The sequence below is a fragment of the Homo sapiens genome, chromosome 3, assembly GCF_000001405.40.
Source record: "Homo sapiens chromosome 3, GRCh38.p14 Primary Assembly".
NCBI classification, from domain to species: domain Eukaryota; kingdom Metazoa; phylum Chordata; class Mammalia; order Primates; family Hominidae; genus Homo; species Homo sapiens.
Genome location: NC_000003.12, coordinates 108,618,176 through 108,636,971, shown reverse-complemented (window position 1 = coordinate 108,636,971; position 18,796 = coordinate 108,618,176). Strand labels below are relative to the sequence as shown.

Genomic DNA, 18,796 nt, shown 5'->3' with positions numbered 1-18,796 from the left:
ATTGGTATACTTATGGCATATTTTGTCTTTGTTTCTCTTTTTGTGTCTTTCTCTTTATTCTTAATTTTTTACTGTTCTTAAGGACCACTTAAACATTACTTTGTATAAATCATGGTAATAAAAAGGTTCAAGAGCTCAGTCACCATTAAAGGCAATATGGCTGGAATCTAATTATGATGATCCCCAGGTCTGTTTCAAGTCAAAAATATTTTTCCAAGGAAGGAAAGCAAGAAAAAAAAAAAAGGACAAAACAAGATACTCACCAAAATTTTAACAATTCCAGGTACATCACATTGCAGCATCCTTACCATGTCACCTGTACATCCTTCCTTCAAACATTTTTTCCCACTAAAACTCTAAATTTATTAATAGAAAAAAATAAAAATAGAAAAAAATCACTGATGTGCAAATCTGATTATATTTAAATAAATGTAGTTAGAAGCAAATGTTGCTAGACAGTAAACTGGAAGATGTGAATATTTGACATGTAGCTGTTAAAAGATGGTCCATTTCATATATCAATGGATATCCTATTTAAAATGTATGATTTCACTCTACTTCAAAATCTTCAAGTAGCTGTATTACAGACTAAAATGCATTTGCTGCTCCAGAGAAAGCAACTTCAAGTAAAATGTACTAATTAAGTATGGGTAAAGAGGATTACTGAATTTCTATCAGATACGTGAGGATTCTAGGGAAAAGGAAAGAATAAAAATGTTACATCCTTTCTCTAGTTCTGGCCTGCTATTTCTTTTGGTTAAATTACTTATTTTTCTTTTACTTCTCTTTCTAAAATTCAGTAATATTAATTGCCCCTACAATCAAGGAAATTGTAAAGTATATACCACTTAAAAATGAATAAGTAAATCTTTATACAATTGTTTTTACAGTTTACAATGTGAGTTCCTCTGTTTTATCTGTTAATTCTTACAAAAACCCTATGAAATAGGTTTATCTTATCCTTACTTCAGAGCTTAAAAAAATTAGTCTCTGGGCAATTAAGTTACCAGTCTAATATAATAAAACTAGTAAGTGGCTCAGTCTGGACTTGAACCCAGATCTCCCAACTCCATATTCAATACACTTTCTACTACACCACAATTGCTTTAAACGGGTTTTCTGTTGTTTGTAGAATGTAAACACTATAGAACCACACATTATAGACCCAACTTACAGTCATCAGCTCACTAAAGAGTAATTAATTCAGAACTGGGCTTTGTATTTCCACTTTAATATTAGTGGCAAACAACTCTATTATATGTTATATATTATAATAGCTAATAACAGTTATGTTATATATTATATAATATTTATAATATTATAATATATATATAACTTATATAATTATATAAGTTATATAGTTATATATAATTATGTAGTTAGTTATATATAATTATGTAGTTATACAGTTATATATAATTATAACTTATATAATTATAACTATTATATATAATGTATAACCATATGTTATATAATTATATATTATCTATAACTACATATGATATGTAACTATTATAACTAAATGTAAATATTAAAAGTTCCATATATATTTTTGAAGACTATGAAATTTGTCCTTGTTCTTCACCTCTAAAATGGAAATCCTTAAAACTGTATAATTATCCTTTCTGTGTTTTTACTAAGAAATTCTATTCTATGATCCTATGTGCATATATGCAACAATATTTCTATTCTTAAGAGTATACATTTCTAAAAGGAAGGGAACAAATTGATAGAAACCACTAAGCAAACCAACTAACTAGTAGTGTATCACCTACAAAGAGCTGTTTAATAAATGATGATAATGAATGAAAAGTGGTAGGGAGATAAGCATCAGAGAGAATTGGGAAAGAACAAAGAAGGAAGTAAAAGAAAAAGAAAAAAAGGAGGAAGTAAAAAGCAGGAGGGAAGTTATGAACAGGAAGAAACGATGGGGAAGAGAACAAAAGAGGAAAGGGTAGAGGAAGAAATGCTGTTGTAGTTTTAAGAACGAATATAATACCTGATCATTTTCACCTGGATACTTTAAATTCTTGAACTTTTTCCAGCAAATTTTATGGAAATAAACACAGCAACTTTTACTGCACATTAACTGAAAAAATCCCTGGAAAAAAATAAAAGTAAGTTATCAATAAGGACATGGTGATTCTTGTATAGATAAAAAAAATTATATTGTCACTTTAAAAATTATTCTATAATTAGATAGATTTTACATGGCATTCAAAATTTATCAACAGAAATCAGAGATCACCAAATAACTTTACAAGTCATTTTTACATCACTAAAGATAGGAAAATTAGGACAGTAAAAAAAAGGTCAATAATTTGAAAAAATTAATATATTTTCCATATTCTACGTACAACAAAATATCAGAAACCCAGTGAGTGTGTCTACAGAGGAACATGCTACCTACCCATCTTCATCTCCATTTTTACATTTCTCTTTTCCTCCATCCCCAGCTCCATACCATTACTGCCTGAATCCCCTCTGTTACCAATCATGAGAACTCAGATTTTCTGCCTTGCTGACAGCTCCTGAGCTACTGCATAATCCGAGGGTATAGATTGCTTGTCTTTCCCACTGTACCCTGCCTGGAAACTACAACCTTGCTTTTTAAAATTTTTGCTTTGATGACAAAAATTAAATTGTGTGCCCAGGTATTCCTGCTGCTGCATGCTGTTGTTCATTTGATTAGAACCCTAAAGCATTCTTGAGAAACCTTAGGACCATATCACCATGTCATCTAAACCAATACTGAACAAGCCTGACCCTGAGCACTACATCTCACCAGGCTCACTTTTCAATCCCTGTCTTATTCTATTGAATAGATCTTGGTCTTCTCCTTCTTCCCACCTATCGGATTGGCTGTACACATCATGCCTCGCAATTAAGATATCAGTTATTTTTTTTAGAGTATTGTCTGATTTTCACATCATCTCATCCTATCTTGTGATTTCACAAAGTCTTATTCTGATAGATCCAGAGAGATAGATCTATCAGAAGTATTCTGATAGATCCAGAGAGAGAGATCTATCAGAAGTATTCTGATAGATCCAGAGAGAGAGATCTATCAGAAGTATTCTGATAGATCCAGAGAGATCTATCAGAAGTACTCTGATAGATCCAGAGAGAGAGAGATCTATCAGAAGTACTCTGATAGATCCAGAGAGAGAGAGATCTATCAGAAGTACTCTGATAGATCCAGAGAGAGAGAGATCTATCAGAAGTACTCTGATAGATCCAGAGAGAGAGAGATCTATCAGAAGTACTCTGATAGATCCAGAGAGAGAGATCTATCAGAAGTACTCTGATAGATCCAGAGAGAGAGATCTATCAGAAGTACTCTGATAGATCCAGAGAGAGAGATCTATCAGAAGTATTCTGATAGATCCAGAGAGAGAGATCTATCAGAAGTATTCTGATAGCTAAATTTCTTCAAATCAAGGCTGGTTACTTTTTCCCCCTGCCAAGGCCCATAGAAGAGAAAATGATCACTTATTTAGTAGTATCATTCCTGCGGAGTGACAGCCTTCTCCTTAGTAAAATGCTACCATTCTTAACCTCTAACAATTCTAACTATAAAGTAAAGCATTTTTTAGATCATTTTCACTGTATGACTGACTGCAGGAATAATACTTATAACTTCAGATGCATGTGAATCTTACAAAAACCTTAGTGAAACCAATTTATTCTTTTATTGACTCACAGAATATAAATAGTTCCTGATCACTCTGAATCTAAGTTCTCATAGTAAAATAACTTTTCAACTGCTTTACCATTGTAATTAAACTAAATGCTCTTTTAAAATATTTTATACATAATATAATTTTTATTATTTTATATAGTTATATATAATTTTTCAATTACTTTTTAAAAATACTGTTAATTGACAATTACAGTACCTTATAACTGGTGTTCTTCAAAATGTCAGCTTCACAAGATCGTTCACAATCTAGGTAACTACAAATCGTCTGCTTCATTATATTGCTTTCAGTTGTCTTGATAAAATTATTAAGAAGATCCTAGATTTTAAAAACAGAAAGAATTCTCATGAATTACTAATAATAAATTAACACCACAATTAAGACTACCCATGTTTTACCTTGGTAATATGTCCATATCATATCCCTTTTCGAAGTACTTGTATATATGTATTTTTTTAATAGTAATAAAACATTTCCCTAATTCAAAGTAAACAATGTATAGGAAGGTCCTAAATTAGAAGTACGGGATTTCTTAATGAATGATATAAACATGGAGAATGGAGAGAAGTGTATGTTTGAAGCCACACATCTCTTTATCATCTAACTCATAGCATAACACCTGGCATATTCCTATCAAGAATTATTTGCTCTACTATATACACACAGAGAGACAATAAATCACTGGTGTCCAAGAGAATCTTGGCTGGAAGCAACCTGTAGGTCACTGCATTGGCAGTGGAACCACTGTGGTAGTGCAATATGCCATTCACTGCTATAATGGGCAAAAGTACAGTAGAGAAATATGTTTTCAATGTCTTTAGTTACAAATCAGAATATAATTTCTCATTTTAAAATACTGATTAAATGGCCAGAAGTGGTGGCTCATGCCTGTAATCATGGTGCTTTGGGAGGTCAAGGCAGGGAGACTGCTTGAGCCCAGGAGTTCAAAGCTGCAGTGAGCTATGGTAGCACCATTTCACTGCAGCCTGGGTGACAGAATGAGACTCTATCTCTAAAAAATAAAATAAAATAGAATAAAACAAATAACAAATAAATGAAATGCTGATTAAATACAAGTGAATCATGTAATCAGGTCTAAGTTAAATGATTAGATAAGGTCCTTCATACTTATCCTTTAGAGGGATAGTGTTACAAAATTTCAAATAGTATTACTGCTAATGTATTGAAGGTATATATGATAAATAAGCCTCTAGAAATTATTTCACAAATATCGGCTCAATGTAGGAGGACAAAGTTGAGAAAATTTCCCAGACAGTAGAAAAAAATATCTTGAGAAATAAGAAAATTAGAGACTCAGTCTAGTCTACAAGGCATCTGAATAATAAGTATTTCACAAAGAAAAAGAGAAAATTAAGAAAATATTATGAAATATATAAAACAAGAAAATGTCCCAGAAGCAAAAAACACAAGTTCAGAAAACTGGTGATACAGGAAATATCCTTAACAATTCCCAGAAAGAAGAAAATAAAACAGGTCAAATACAAAAGTTTAAAAATCAGAATGAAATCAAGTTTCTTAGAAGTTGATTAGAAGTTAAAAGATAACAGAAAAATGCTTTTAAAAAATTGGAGGCCAAGGTGGGAGGATCACTTGAGCCCAGGAGTTTGAGAGCAGCCTGGGCAACATACTGAGACTGTCTTTACTAAAAAAAAAAAAAAAAAAAAAAGGGAATAATAATAATAATAATAATAATTTTTTTTAAAAAATTAGCCAAGTGCAGTGGCGTGTGCCTGTAGTCCCAGCTACTTGGGAGGCTGAAGGAAAAGAATTGCTTGAGCACAGGAGGTTGAGGCTGCAGTGAACTATGATCATGCCACTGCACTCCACCCAGGGTGACAGAGCAAGAACCTGTCTCCGAAAAGAAAAATTATTCTATCCTCAGGCAAGATATGAACAGAGTATACAAAGGATAAATTATTTTGATACTTGAAAGGTCTCAAAAAATTTACCTCCCATGCAAGCTCTCTTTTACGGGAAGCTGCTAGAGAATAGAGGAGTTGCACCACCAAAACAAGGAAGCAACCCTAGGAAGGAAAACTTGAGTTCTGAGAAACAGAGGATTCCACATACAAGAAAGGTGAGGAAAATTCCCAGGATGAGAGTGAAGGGAAACCCTGAGGCCAGCTTAACAAAAACATAACTACCAGTAGGATAGGAGAGAGAGAGAGAGAGAGAGAGAGAGAGAGAGAGAGAGTGTGTGTGTGTGTGTGTGTGTGTGTGTGTGTGTGTGTGTGTGTGTGTAGGGGATGTATAAGCAAGCTAAACTCTCATTTTTCACAGTGAGAAGTCAAAACAGAAAAACCTGGAGATATGTTTTAAATAGCAGTATTTCTTTTGAAAAATAGGTAAACATCAAAGAAAAATGTCTAGAAAGTTGGAAGAATGACTCTAGGAAGCAGAATTTCAGTTAGAGATAACAAAACAGAAACTCTTATTTTAAGTCTTTAAAGATTATTTGACAAACTGAATATATATATATTATTGTGCATAAAATAAAAATTCACTAAAAAAGTTAGATAATAAAGAAAGCAAAATATTTTAAAAAGAGGAAGAAAAAGAGTAAATCAACCAAGATCAAGTAAGGGACTGCTTTGTAAAGTAGGGATGAAAATTTAGTATTTTTAAAATGCATAAAATTATTACTTTAGCAAGTCAAAATTAAAAGTCATATGATTACCTTGACAATGCCAAAAGCTGTCTGCATGTTCTATTGATTACTGAAAGAAGTATATTAAAATATTCTATTGTGATTGGGGCTTTAAAAATATTTCTCCTTTCAATTCTGTCAGTTTTTGTCCCATATATTTTGAAGCTATATTACTAGGTATATACAAATTTGAGTTATCATATCTTCCTGGATAATTGAATTTTATATTTTAATAAAATGTCTCTCTTTATTTTGAGTAATGCTTTTGGCCTTAAAGTCAGGTAAAACATAAAGATCAAGAAAGATTTAAAGTTTTTTAAAGTTTTGAAAAAGATATGTCATTCAAACATTAACCAAGAGAAACCTGGTTTAGCTATGTTCATATTAAACAAATTAAAAAGACACAAATGGTTTATCAGATGGGTTAATAATTACCCAAAAGGTAAAGAACACCCAGAAGGTGTGGGAAAATGAAAAGTCTCACACTATTTGAAGAATATAAAGTGGTACAATTTTCTGAGAGAAAATACAGAGACATATAACAACTTTATAATTGTGTGAACACTTGCTCCACAATTCCACCTTTAGAAATTTATTCTAATGAAATGACGTGAGAAATATGCAAAGATCACTTTATATAAGAAGGAAAAACTGGAAATATTTAGAATAAACTTAGCAGGGAACTAGTTGAGCAAATTAAAACAAAGCTATATAATACATTATTATGCCAAAATCGCATTGTATAATAGTCTAATGACTGAGAAATAAAAAATACTATATATTTATATATATATATTATGCCAAATCGCATTATGCCAAAATCGCATTGTATAATATGGCAAAATCGCATTGTATAATAGTCTAATGACTGAGAAATAAAAAATACTATATATTTCCAGAGTACAAATAAGTGTGCACAACATCACAACTTAAAATCACAAAATAAAAGCTATTGGTGTTTATATGTGTGTGTGTGTGTGTGTCTGGACAGATATAAATAAAAATGCTAACAATGGTTTTTCCATTTGAAGAAGAAATATAGATGAATTTCATCTTTATCTTTAGGCATTTTTATATTTTCCATGTTTTCTGAACTAAGCATTTAGTACTTTGTAATTTAAATCAACAGCAAAATAATGGTAAAGATAATTAGGAAAAAAAGTTAACAGCTACATTTGACTCTAACCATGCAGGGTACTGGCCTAGTATCATTATTAATCTTCTCATTATTTGAAAATGTTAACACTGCCACCTCACTTCTCCCTCCTTGTTGAATCATACGTTCTGCACTAGGTAATGCAATAAAGGTTGTTTCTTGTATAAAAAGTTATGTGCCAATAAAAGAACATGCTTGCTGTAAGAATATGATATAGTTGGTTATTCTGATTAGTTACAAATAAAATGTTACTCTTAAATAATTTCTTACTTTAAAAGTTGTAGGTAAATCTTCATCTTCTGTAGGATCTATGTCAAACCAATGGTCATTTTTGTCTCCAATTTCTTGTAAGCTTTTATGAAATTCTAGCAGTCCTCCATTATATCTGAAAGGCATTTTAAAATAAGGTTAGTTTGAACGGGACTGTGTAGATGCATGGTTTACCAATGAGACAACAAATAACCCTTTTTTTGTGGTAAATAGGGTGGTGATAACCTCTGGCATGCCATAGAAATACAAATACTAGCACTCTCACCTGTGGCAGATTGGCATGAAATACAGGTGGAAGGGGAGGCACTAGATTATGTAGTAGCTCAAGCTTGAACAGTATGGGGGCCATGGTAATTAAAGGGACTGTAGAGTTGGTTGGCTTTAAACTGTCTTGGAGGCCTTGAAGAAAGAGAATGACAGGCACAGGTCAGCCAACTATTAACTCAGGATACACTGTGAAAGCCAGAAGGCCTCTATGGGGGCAATTGAAAGAGACTCTCATCCCCTATGGCCATAATCCGTGCTGAAAATAAGGCCCAAATTTAATCATAAAGTGAAACAAACTGATATTGAATGCACAGCCTCAACAAGACTAATACCATCAACTCAGGACACTGAAAACTAGAAGGCTTCTATGGCAACATCAAAAGAACCTCCTCTAGACATAAGGCAGACTATGCTGAAAATGAAGCTCAGGATTTAACCATAAGGGTAGAACAGCTGCAAAGGAGACCCAAAACACAGCCTCAACAGAACTACACTAAAATTAGGGCTTTGATATGCAATGAGTAGACCCTAGGATCTAAAATGGGGATATTTAGGTGAATGTGCTTAGAAATATTGAATCCTTAAATTTCCCCCATGAACCCTCTTGACTGGCAAAGACCTCCTCCTTGCCACAGGAGAGCAGCCTACCTTTATTTAGAGACCATGCAAAAATATCAGCTGAGACGCATGTCTCAAAAGATGATGCCCTTCCTTCTTAAGATCTTCCCCTACTGGCTGGGTGCGGTGGCTCATGCCTGTAATCCCAGCACTCTGGGAGGCCGAGGTGGGCGGATCACGAGATCAGGAGATCGGGACCATCCTGACCAACATAGTGAAACCCCATCTCTACTAAAAATACAAAAATGAGCCAGGCATGATGGCGCATGCCTGTAATCCCAGCTACTTGGGAGGCAGAGGCAGGAGAATCCCTTGAACCAGGGAGTTGGAGGTTGCAGTGAGCCGAGATCGCGCCACAGCACTCTAGCCTGGCGACAGAGCGAGACTCCGTCTCAAAAAAAAAAAACTTCCCTTACCTCATTGCCTTCAGACAATAAATCTAAGGTCAGGTGGAGAGCCCAAGTGAGAAAACAGAGCCCTTGCCCAGGACGAAAAAGCTTGTTAATCATAAGAATTGCAGAACCCTACTAGAATGTACTGGCAGGAACATGAGTGGGAGTGGATCTTTAAAGTGCTGAACCAAGGGTAAACACAAGGCTGAATGGGGAAGTGTACACTGATATGGAAAAACTCTTCCGTAATTCAAGATTTACTTTCCTAGAAAGGACACCTGAATCCAGTCCTAATATGGTGCTGAGAAGACTCCTTGAAACTTGGACACAATAATGGTCTATAGTAAATTAAGAAGAAATGCTGAAAATTTCTTGAGGAATATTAAAGGAGTCAAGGAAGTGAGAAGGTTAGAATTGACTTACTACATAAAAACACAGAACCCACCACTAATTCAGTGTTCCTAGAAAGGCTCAGAGGATACCCCATTCATTAATACAATAAGAACTACAGAGTAAGAAGGGCACCAGTGTCTTTGAGGAGCTCAGTGGTGGTTGTCCTCTATAGGCCAGGGATGAAAGTAATGATACTGCCATACAACTGGACTTTCTAGTGTCAATGATCTGGAAAATGAATTCTCTCCAATGCTCATCAGTAAAGAGAATAAAACAGTTTTCACATCTGAGGAAGGACAGCAGGATATATTCTTTGTTCTTGTCTCAGGCTATGTTAATTCTCTTACTTTGTCACAGTATAGACTGAAGGGATTTGGATCATTTTGACATTCTACAAAGCATCACACTAGCCCCACTATATTGATGGCACATGCTGCTCAGACCCAGTGAACAAGAAGTGAGATGTCTTGTGGATACCCTAGTAAAAAAACAGGCAAGCCAGAGAATAGGATATCAACCTTACAAAGAATCAGGGAACTACCACATAGGTGACACTTTTAGGGATCCAGTGGTTTGGCCCAGCAGTAATCCTTCATAAGAGTTTGCCCAAGCAAACTTTTCCAAATTCATCCCTCAGATCTTAGTCAAACATTGTTTTCTCAGGGAGACTTCTGATTCCCAGAACCAGCCTCCAGGAAACACTTTAGTTATTCACTCTAGTTTCCTTCATAACTCTTTATCCTATCTCATAAATATTTTATGACTGATTAGTTGATTAAGATCTATATCTTTCACTGTACTTTCAGTTACATGAAGACAGGAACTGTATTTTGTAAACCACTGTAACCTCAACACCTAACAGTTTCTGGAATATAATGGATACTTAGTAAATAAAATGAATGAATGATGTTACAAATGGTTATGGATCTCCATATAGGAAGTAAACAGATAATCTGTATAGTTTCCTCCATACAATTTCACTTTCTTAAAAGTAGTAGCCAATACTCCAAAAACTCAGCATTTGGACCCTTTTCAACTCTTTATAAGCTCATTTTATACTTTTAAAAACTATTCCAAGTTAGTGGTGATAATACTAATAACTCCAACCATAATTTATTTATTAAGTACAGCATTTTTGTGTCCTAGGCAATGTTAATCACCTGCAAAATCCTCATGAAGTGAACCCTACACTATTATTAGTTCTATTTTAGAGATAAGAAAAAAATATAAGGCTTAACAACATTAAGTTTCTTAGCATAAGTGATAAAAAATGTAGCTGAACCCGGGTCTATCAGACTCTAAAGCCTATGCTCCTAATGTTAATGCTAGACTGCTTCTTATTGCTATGGCCTGTTAAGTTTGCTATTTAATATTCTCAACTACATTAAAGAAATTATCTATACAAATAGGCAAAGAAGAAAAGGATAAAACAGTAGAGCACAAATGTCACAATGCCTGATATACTGTGCACACTTACTTCCATTTCACAATGCTGAGACTTCACAGGCAACATCTACCCGTTAATTAAAATCCTTACCTCTTTTGAGCACATCGCAGTAAACCACGTCCAAAATAAACTAAAGACATAAAGTTTTCACAAATTTCATTTTCTTGGATCATCATCTTCATCACCAGAAATTTATTCTCAGCTTCTGTATAATCCTGTAGTAACATAAAACTAGGTTTGGCTACTGTAAAAGTCATTTTTTTTTTTTTTACAATAAACAATTACTTCTCAAACTGGAGAAATTAGGGCAGCTTTAAAAATAATACAATCATCTGGTCATTTATTCACATTCTGAATCCTGGCATCTCTGCATGTGATTACAAAGATCATGTAGTCAGTGTTTAAAATATTTATTTATAAATAAACTTAAGACCTTCTTTAACCAATATTTCAAAGTGAATATTAAGATGGTAACAAAAATTTGTGTATCTAAAACTGGCAATTAGGCATGGTGGTGCACACTGATAGTGTCAGCTCCTTAGCAGGCTGAAGCAGGAGGATTGCTTGAGCCCAGGAGTTAAGTCCAGCTTGGGCAACATAGTGAGACGCCATCTTTTAAATACATACATATACATATCTAACTGGCAAGTACTACTAGCCAAAATAAGGGCTTTTCTGATAACTGTTAGAGCACAATTCTTTATCATTCTTCCTAATGGGAGCACAATTCTTCACAGTATTTCAGATAGAAAGTAAGTGATTTGTTGCCCATAGATATAAACTCTTTTGGGGAATCACCACCTTAATCATAAACAACATAGGTCTGGAAGTAAATATCAGGATCTGTTATAATAGATGCTTCAGTGAAAAAGGCATAATGGCCTCAGTCTCTCTAGAAAAAAAAAGCTGGAAAAATGCTGCCTGGCCTTACTTTAAAATATTCCCTAGTACATCACACTAAACAATTAGTACTACATTAAAGTATTTAAAATAGAAATGTTTTCAGTTTCGCTGCTTATCAATTCTACTTCACTTGTTAATTCTAATTAACAAGTCATATTTATATATTTAATTTATGAAGTCAGAAATACAGATTTGGGAAGAAAAAATAAGAGAAATATCAAAGCTATGAAGAAAATATGAGAAATCATTAAAAATCAGAAAAAAAAGGAAATGTTAAATTCAACAGAACCCTTAGAAATTATCTAGTTAATTCCCAGATTTGTACTTATTTGCACTTAAGTTTGACAAATAATTTGAGGTACAATTCATATTTTACAAAAGGGATACGATTAAAACCAGAGGGATTAAGCTATACTAGAAAATGGATTAAAATGTATTATGTAAGTGAAAGAAGCTAAATAATTTTTTATTTTACATGAATGGTAAGCATTCAAAAGATAAATAAAAGAAATGAAGTTATAAGCTAATATTAAGTTTCCTTTTTTAATATTTTTAGTTTCATATTATAATCTTTGGCCTGATTATTCCAAGATGTAAAAAGATTTATAAAGGGCAAATAACATGTTACATACCTCTTTCTTTCCTCTTTCAGTGAGTGCTACTCCATATAAAAACAGTAATGTCAAATAATAACCAATATTAATCTGGTGTGCCTACAAAGAAAAAAATATGTTAATTGGTTATTTAGACTAAGCTACTTTTCAGTACAACAAGCTTAATTAAATATCCTAAGCTTAATTAATAATTATTAAAACAAGTAAAAATTATCAAAACATTATCAGTCATCTAATAATAACGATAATGTATTTTAGATATATTTGATAATTTGACCCAGGAAGAAAGAGGATAGTCAATAATCTCAAAATAAAACATTAAAATTTAATCAAAGGAAAGGATATGGAAGAAAGATGGCCAAATAGAAGCTCCAACAATCGTCACCAACACAGGAACACCACACTGAACAAATACCCCATAGAAAAGCCCCTTCATAGAAACAAAAATCAGGTGAGTGATCACATTACCTGGTTTGAACATCATATTAAGGAAAGAGGCACTGAAGAGGGTAGGAAAGACAGTCTTAAGTTGCCTATACCATCCCTTCCTCCATCCCCTGACTACAGCTATGTGACATGGAGAGAGAATCTGCGCTTGGGGGAAGGACTTTGCACTGGAACTCAGTGCTGCCCCGTCACATCAGAAAGCCATACTGAGCAGAACTCAGTCAGTGATCACGGAGGTAGCATTTAGACAAGTGTTAGCCATAGGTAAATTGTCCATCCCAGCAGTCAGAGCCTGAGTTCCAGCAAGCCCTGCCAGTGTGGGCCAAAGTGCTCTGGGGTCCTACATAAAAGGCAGTCTAGGCCACAAGGACTGCAGTTCCTGGCCATGTCCTGGTGCTGTGCTGGGCTTGGAGCCAGTGGATTTGTGGTGTATACAACCTAGTAAGATACCAGATGGGGCAGGCAAGGGAGTGCTTATGTCACCCCTCCAACTCCAGGGAAAACAACTCACACGTCTGGGAGAGACACCTTCCCTCTGCTTGAGCAGAGGAGAGAGAAGAGTAAAGACGATTTTGCCTTGCCACTTGAATATCGGCTCAGTCACAGTAGAATCCTGAGGCTCTAGCTCCAAGACAATATTTCTAGACACATCCTGGGGCAGAAATGAATCCACTGCCTTGAAGGTAAGAACCCAGTCCTGGCGGGGTTCATTACCTGCTGACTAAAGAGCCCTTGGGCCCTGAATAATCAACAGTAGTAGCAGTACTCGCCATGGGCCTTGGGTGAGACTCAGAGCTATGCTGGCTTCAGATGTGACCCAACACATTCCCAGCTGTGGTGGCTATGGTGAGAGATGCCTTTCTGCTTGAGAAAGGCAGAGGGAAAAGTAAAGGGGACTTTGTCTTGCAGCTTGAGTATCAGCTCAGCCACAGTGGGATAGAACACCAAGTGGGCTTCCAGGGTTCCCACTTCCAGACTTCAAGTCCTGTCTGGCACTTCTGCACTCGCCCTGGGCCAGAGAGAAACGCACTGCTCAGAAAGAAGAGACTCAGTATAGGTGGTAGCAAGGCAGTCGTCACCATAGGGTTTGAGCAAGAACCAGTACTGGGCTGGCTTCGGATCTGAACTAGAGGAGTCTCAGTGGTCGTGGCCACAAGAATGCTTGTGTCACCCCTCCCCCAGCTCCAGGCAGCTCCATACACACACACACACACAGAGAGAGAGAGAGAGAGAGAGAGAGAGAGAGAGAGAGAGAGAGACTCTGTTTGTTTGGGGTAAAGGAAGAAGAGAACAAGAGTCTCTGCCTGGTAATCCAAGGAGTTCTTCCAGATCTCACCAAAGACTACCAAGATGGTACCTCTATGAATCTGCAAGAGACACAGGGTTACTGGGCTTAGAGTGTCCCCTAATGCAGATATAGCAGCAGTGACCAAGGACTTAAATCACAATATGCAAGTCCCTTTGAATACCTGGAAAGACTTCCCAAGAAGGACAGGTACAAAACAAGGCCATACAGTGAAGCCTATAATGAATACCTAACTCTCCAATGCCCAGACATCGATGGACATCCATTAGCATCAAGACCATCCAGGAAAACATGACTTTACCAAACCAAAAAAGGCACCAGTTGCCAATCCCAGAGAGACAAACATGTGACCTTTCAGACACAAACTTCCAAACAGCTGTTTTGAGGAAGTTCAATGAAATTCAAGATAACACAGAGAAGGAATTCAGAATCCTATCAGATAAATTGAACAAAGAAATTGAGAATAATTTTTAAAAATCAAGTAGAAATTCTGGAGCTTAAAAAAGCAATTGACATGCTAAAGAATTCACCACTGTCTCCCCAACCCCCACCTACCCTTCCCAGCCTCTGGTAACCATCATTCTACTAGCTATTTTTTTGAGTTCACTTGTTTTAATTTTTGGCTCCCAAAAATGAGTGAGAACATGCAAAGTTTGTCTTTCTCTATCTGGTTTATTTCACTTCACATAATGACCTCCAGTTCCATCCATGTTGTTTCAAGTGACAGGATCTCATTATTTTAATTTTTTTTTTTTTTAGAGATGGGGTCTCACACTATTACCCAGGCTGATCTTGAACTCCTGAGTTCAAGTGATCCTCCCATCTCAGCCTCTCAAAGTGCTGGGGGGAATCTTGTGCTTTTTTATGGCTGAATAGTACTCCCCTGTGTATATGTACCATATTTTCGTTATTTATTCATCTGGATGGACACTTAGGTTGCTTTCAAATCTTGGCTATTGTGAATAGTGCTGCAATAAACATGAGAATGCAAATATTTCTTTGATACACTGATTTTCTTTCTTTTGGGTATATCCCAGCAGTGGGATTGCTGGATCCTATGGTAGATCTATTTTCAGTTTTTTGAGGAACCTCCAAACTGCTTGCCATAGTGGTTTTACTAATTTACATTCCCACCAACAGTGTAAGAGGGTTCTCTTTTCTCCACATCCTCACCAGCATTTGTTATTGCCTGTATTTTGTACATAAGCCATTTTAACCTAAGTGGGCAATAGTGTGAGACACCATCTCTACAAAAATACCAACCCTACTTTTTCAGCATCTGTTGAAATGAGTATACAGTCAACAATAATTCATTGTACATTTTAAAATAAGAAACAGTATAAATGGATTGTTGTAATACAAAGGATAAATGCTTGAGGTGATGGATAGCCCATTTACCCTGATGTGATTATTATGTATTGTATGCCTGCATCAAAGTATCTCACATACCCCATAAAATGTACACCTATATACCCACAAAAATTAAAAATAAAATTTTTTAAAAACTGGTAAAAAAGAAGTATAAAAATTTGTTACATTAAACCTTTCAAAAACTCTCATTCACTCTGTCTCTTTTATTATGTAATATTTTAGGTATCAAGAACACATTAAATAATAATATAACGAACACTGAAGTATCTACCATCCACCTTTAAAAATACAATGATCTGGCTGGGTGCAGTGGCTCATGCCTGTAATCCCAACACTTTGGGAGGCCGAGGCAGGCAGATTACAAGGTCAGGACATCGAGACCATCCTGGCCAACATGGTGAAACCCTGTCTCTACTAAAAATACAAAAAATTAGCCAGGCGTGGTGGCACGCGCCTGTAGTCCCAGCTACTCGGGAGGCTGAGGCAGAAGAATCACTTGAACCCAGGAGGTGGAGGTTGCAGTGAGCCGAGATCGTGCCACTGCATTCCAGCCTGGGTGACAGAGTGAGACTCCATCTCAAAACAAAAACAAAACAAAACAAAACAAAAACAATGATCTTTTAAATCAAAATCCTTTACTCTCCCACATGGATTCTGCAAAATAGTATGAACATAAAGCTCATCACTTCTTCAATGAAAAATTAAACCATGTGGATATTTCCTTCGTATAAAAATGGTCTATGCAAAATTACTGAGATGAGATAGATTAGGGATCAGTGAATTGTAGAGGGAGAGAGGTGGGTGTGACCATAAAAGTCATAAGAGAGATTTTTGTGGTGGTGGAATAGTTCTTTTATCTTGATTGCAGTAGTTACATAAATGTACACATTTGATAAAATGGCACAGAACTATACAAGCCTGGGCATTAAAAAGCTAACCTAGCTGGCCTGAGGCTGTTATCCTTATTAAGTCCTGCTTGCAAAGTTGATCTTTGGCTGATGTCTGGGAACTTGAATTTTGGCAGTGTTCCCTAACTGATAAAGGTGCCTTGCTATGTCTAGACTATTTGTGCAAACACTATGATTTATGCTGAGCACCTGGGATTTTCTTCTGGAAGTGTGGAATTTTGATACATGCCAGGCAGCAGGTACCTAGATGACCAACGCCCAATAAAAATATTGATCACTGAGTCTCTTATAGGCTTCCCTGGGCAGAAACACTGTGGATGTTGCTACATTTTCATTGCTGGAGGTGGCCGTATATGCTGTGTAGCTTCTCATGGAAGGGAGAAAATATGGAGGAACCTGCAGATGGCTTTCGTCAGACTTCACCTGTGTCTTTTCCCCATATGATCTACTATGTATCCTTATCACATCACCATAATAAATCTTAGATGTTAGTATAACCATATGCTGAGTCCAGTCCTTCTAGCAAATCTCTGAACATGAGGGTGGTCTTGGAGAACCCAGACACAAAGCCCCATGGACCAACATCAATTTCCTGTTTTTTTTTTTTTAATATGTTCTGGAGTAATGTAATTATGTAACTATTTAGGGAAACTGTGTGAGGGGTACACCAAGACCTCCCTGTCCATTGTATTTGTGATGGTTAAGTTCATGTGTCAACTTGACTGGCCACAGGGTGCCCAGATTAAATATTGTTTCTGGGTGTGTCTCTGAGCGTGTTTCCAGATGAAATTTGCCTTTGAAATGGTAGACTGGGTATAACAGGTTGCCCTCTCCAATGTAGGTGGGCATCATCCAATCCATTAAAGCCTGCATAGAACAAAAAGTAGAGGAAGGAAGAATTCATCCCTTTTTGCTTCCGGCCTGCTTGCTGGAGCTTGGACATCTCATCTCAACTTCTGCCTTCATCCTTGGATTTATACCTGGTTCTTAGCCTTCAGAACTGGGATGAGTTATATCACAAGCGTTCCTGGGTCTCCAGATTACAGAGAGCAGATCATGGGACTTGCTGAGCCTCTATAATGACATGAGGCAATTCCTCATAATAAATCACATATACATTCCTTATAATCATGTATATGTATATGTGTATATAAGTATTTGTATGTTTTATGTATATAAAACAAAACACACACACACACACACACACATACACACATATACCCACACACATACACACACACAGCAAAAACCAGTCTGGTTTCTCTGGAGAACCCTGGACTCCTCTGCTCATAAGCTCTATATTGACTGAAGATTATAACCCTATCTTTTGTCACATTACCCTTTTTCATCAAGATTTCCCCATACCATAAACAAGATTTTTCTAGGTACATAGAATGATAAATACCCATAGGATATAAGCTTTCTTTTTTTTTTTTTTTTTTTTTTTTTTGAGATGGAGTCTCAATCTGTCACCTAGGCTGGAGTGCAGTGGCATAATCTTGGCTCCCTGCAACCTCTGCCTCCTGGGTTCAATTGATTCTCCTGCCTCAGCCTCCTGAGTAGTTGGGATTACAGGCGCATGCCACCACACCTGGCTAATTTTTATATTTTTGGTACACACGGGGTTTCACCATGTTGGTCAGGCTGGTCTCGAACTCCTGACCTCGTGATCTGCCCGCCTCGGCCTCCCAAAGTGCTGGGATTACAGATGTGAGCCACCGCGCCCGGCCCATAAGCTTTCTGTTTATACTGATCTAACTGTATACTCTCACCTTGCATGCTTCTAATGACCAACAGTATTCATTGAGGAGATAACTGACTGGGATTATAAATTTGGCTTCAAACTGATCTCAGTGGAGATAGACGTGTGTTTGTTCTTGATGGACTAAGTGAGTCTATTAAATATAAACTCCTCATAACATCTAAGTGGTTCCCACCTTAAAATTCTCATCCCTGAAGAGGCAGTAGTTCAGACCATAGAATCTAGAGCCACCTGACTCCACTACTTACTACCTGGTCAAGTTAGCAAGTTATTTAACCTCTGTGCCCTAAGATGGGGTACTTATGAACAGTAAAAGGGCTAATTTTTACAAAGCGCTTAGAATAGTGGCTGTCATACAGCAAACACTAAAGAAGTGTGAGCTATTATTTTGTAATTAAAAGAAAACAGCTTCATGAATAACATAACAGAGACTAGCTAATATAATTCTAAATAAAACATTTCTAAGAACAAGATAAGATGCAGAATTGTGGTAATGCTATAATTAGAGGAGGAAAAACTCTGGAATTTAAAGATGCAAGTTGTACATTTCTAACCTAAAGCCCCTGTCCTTTT

The 18,796-nt window shown here is 36.1% G+C and overlaps 1 protein-coding gene across 13 annotated transcripts in view; it reads right to left on the bottom strand.

Annotated features, from left to right (window-relative positions):
- The window catches only part of DZIP3 (DAZ interacting zinc finger protein 3), a 105,331-nt gene that overhangs the window by 57,869 nt on the left and 28,666 nt on the right, over nucleotides 1-18,796 (bottom strand). For all 13 annotated transcript variants that reach the window (XM_005247917.4, XM_005247914.5, XM_047449256.1 and 10 more), the window contains 6 exons: nucleotides 12,448-12,528; nucleotides 11,003-11,127; nucleotides 7,796-7,910; nucleotides 3,900-4,019; nucleotides 2,000-2,101; nucleotides 264-356 (listed from right to left, as the gene is read on the bottom strand). In XM_005247917.4, coding sequence (XP_005247974.1) covers nucleotides 264-356; nucleotides 2,000-2,101; nucleotides 3,900-4,019; nucleotides 7,796-7,910; nucleotides 11,003-11,127; nucleotides 12,448-12,528 — 636 coding nt within the window. The remainder of the gene's footprint in view (nucleotides 1-263; nucleotides 357-1,999; nucleotides 2,102-3,899; nucleotides 4,020-7,795; nucleotides 7,911-11,002; nucleotides 11,128-12,447; nucleotides 12,529-18,796) is intronic.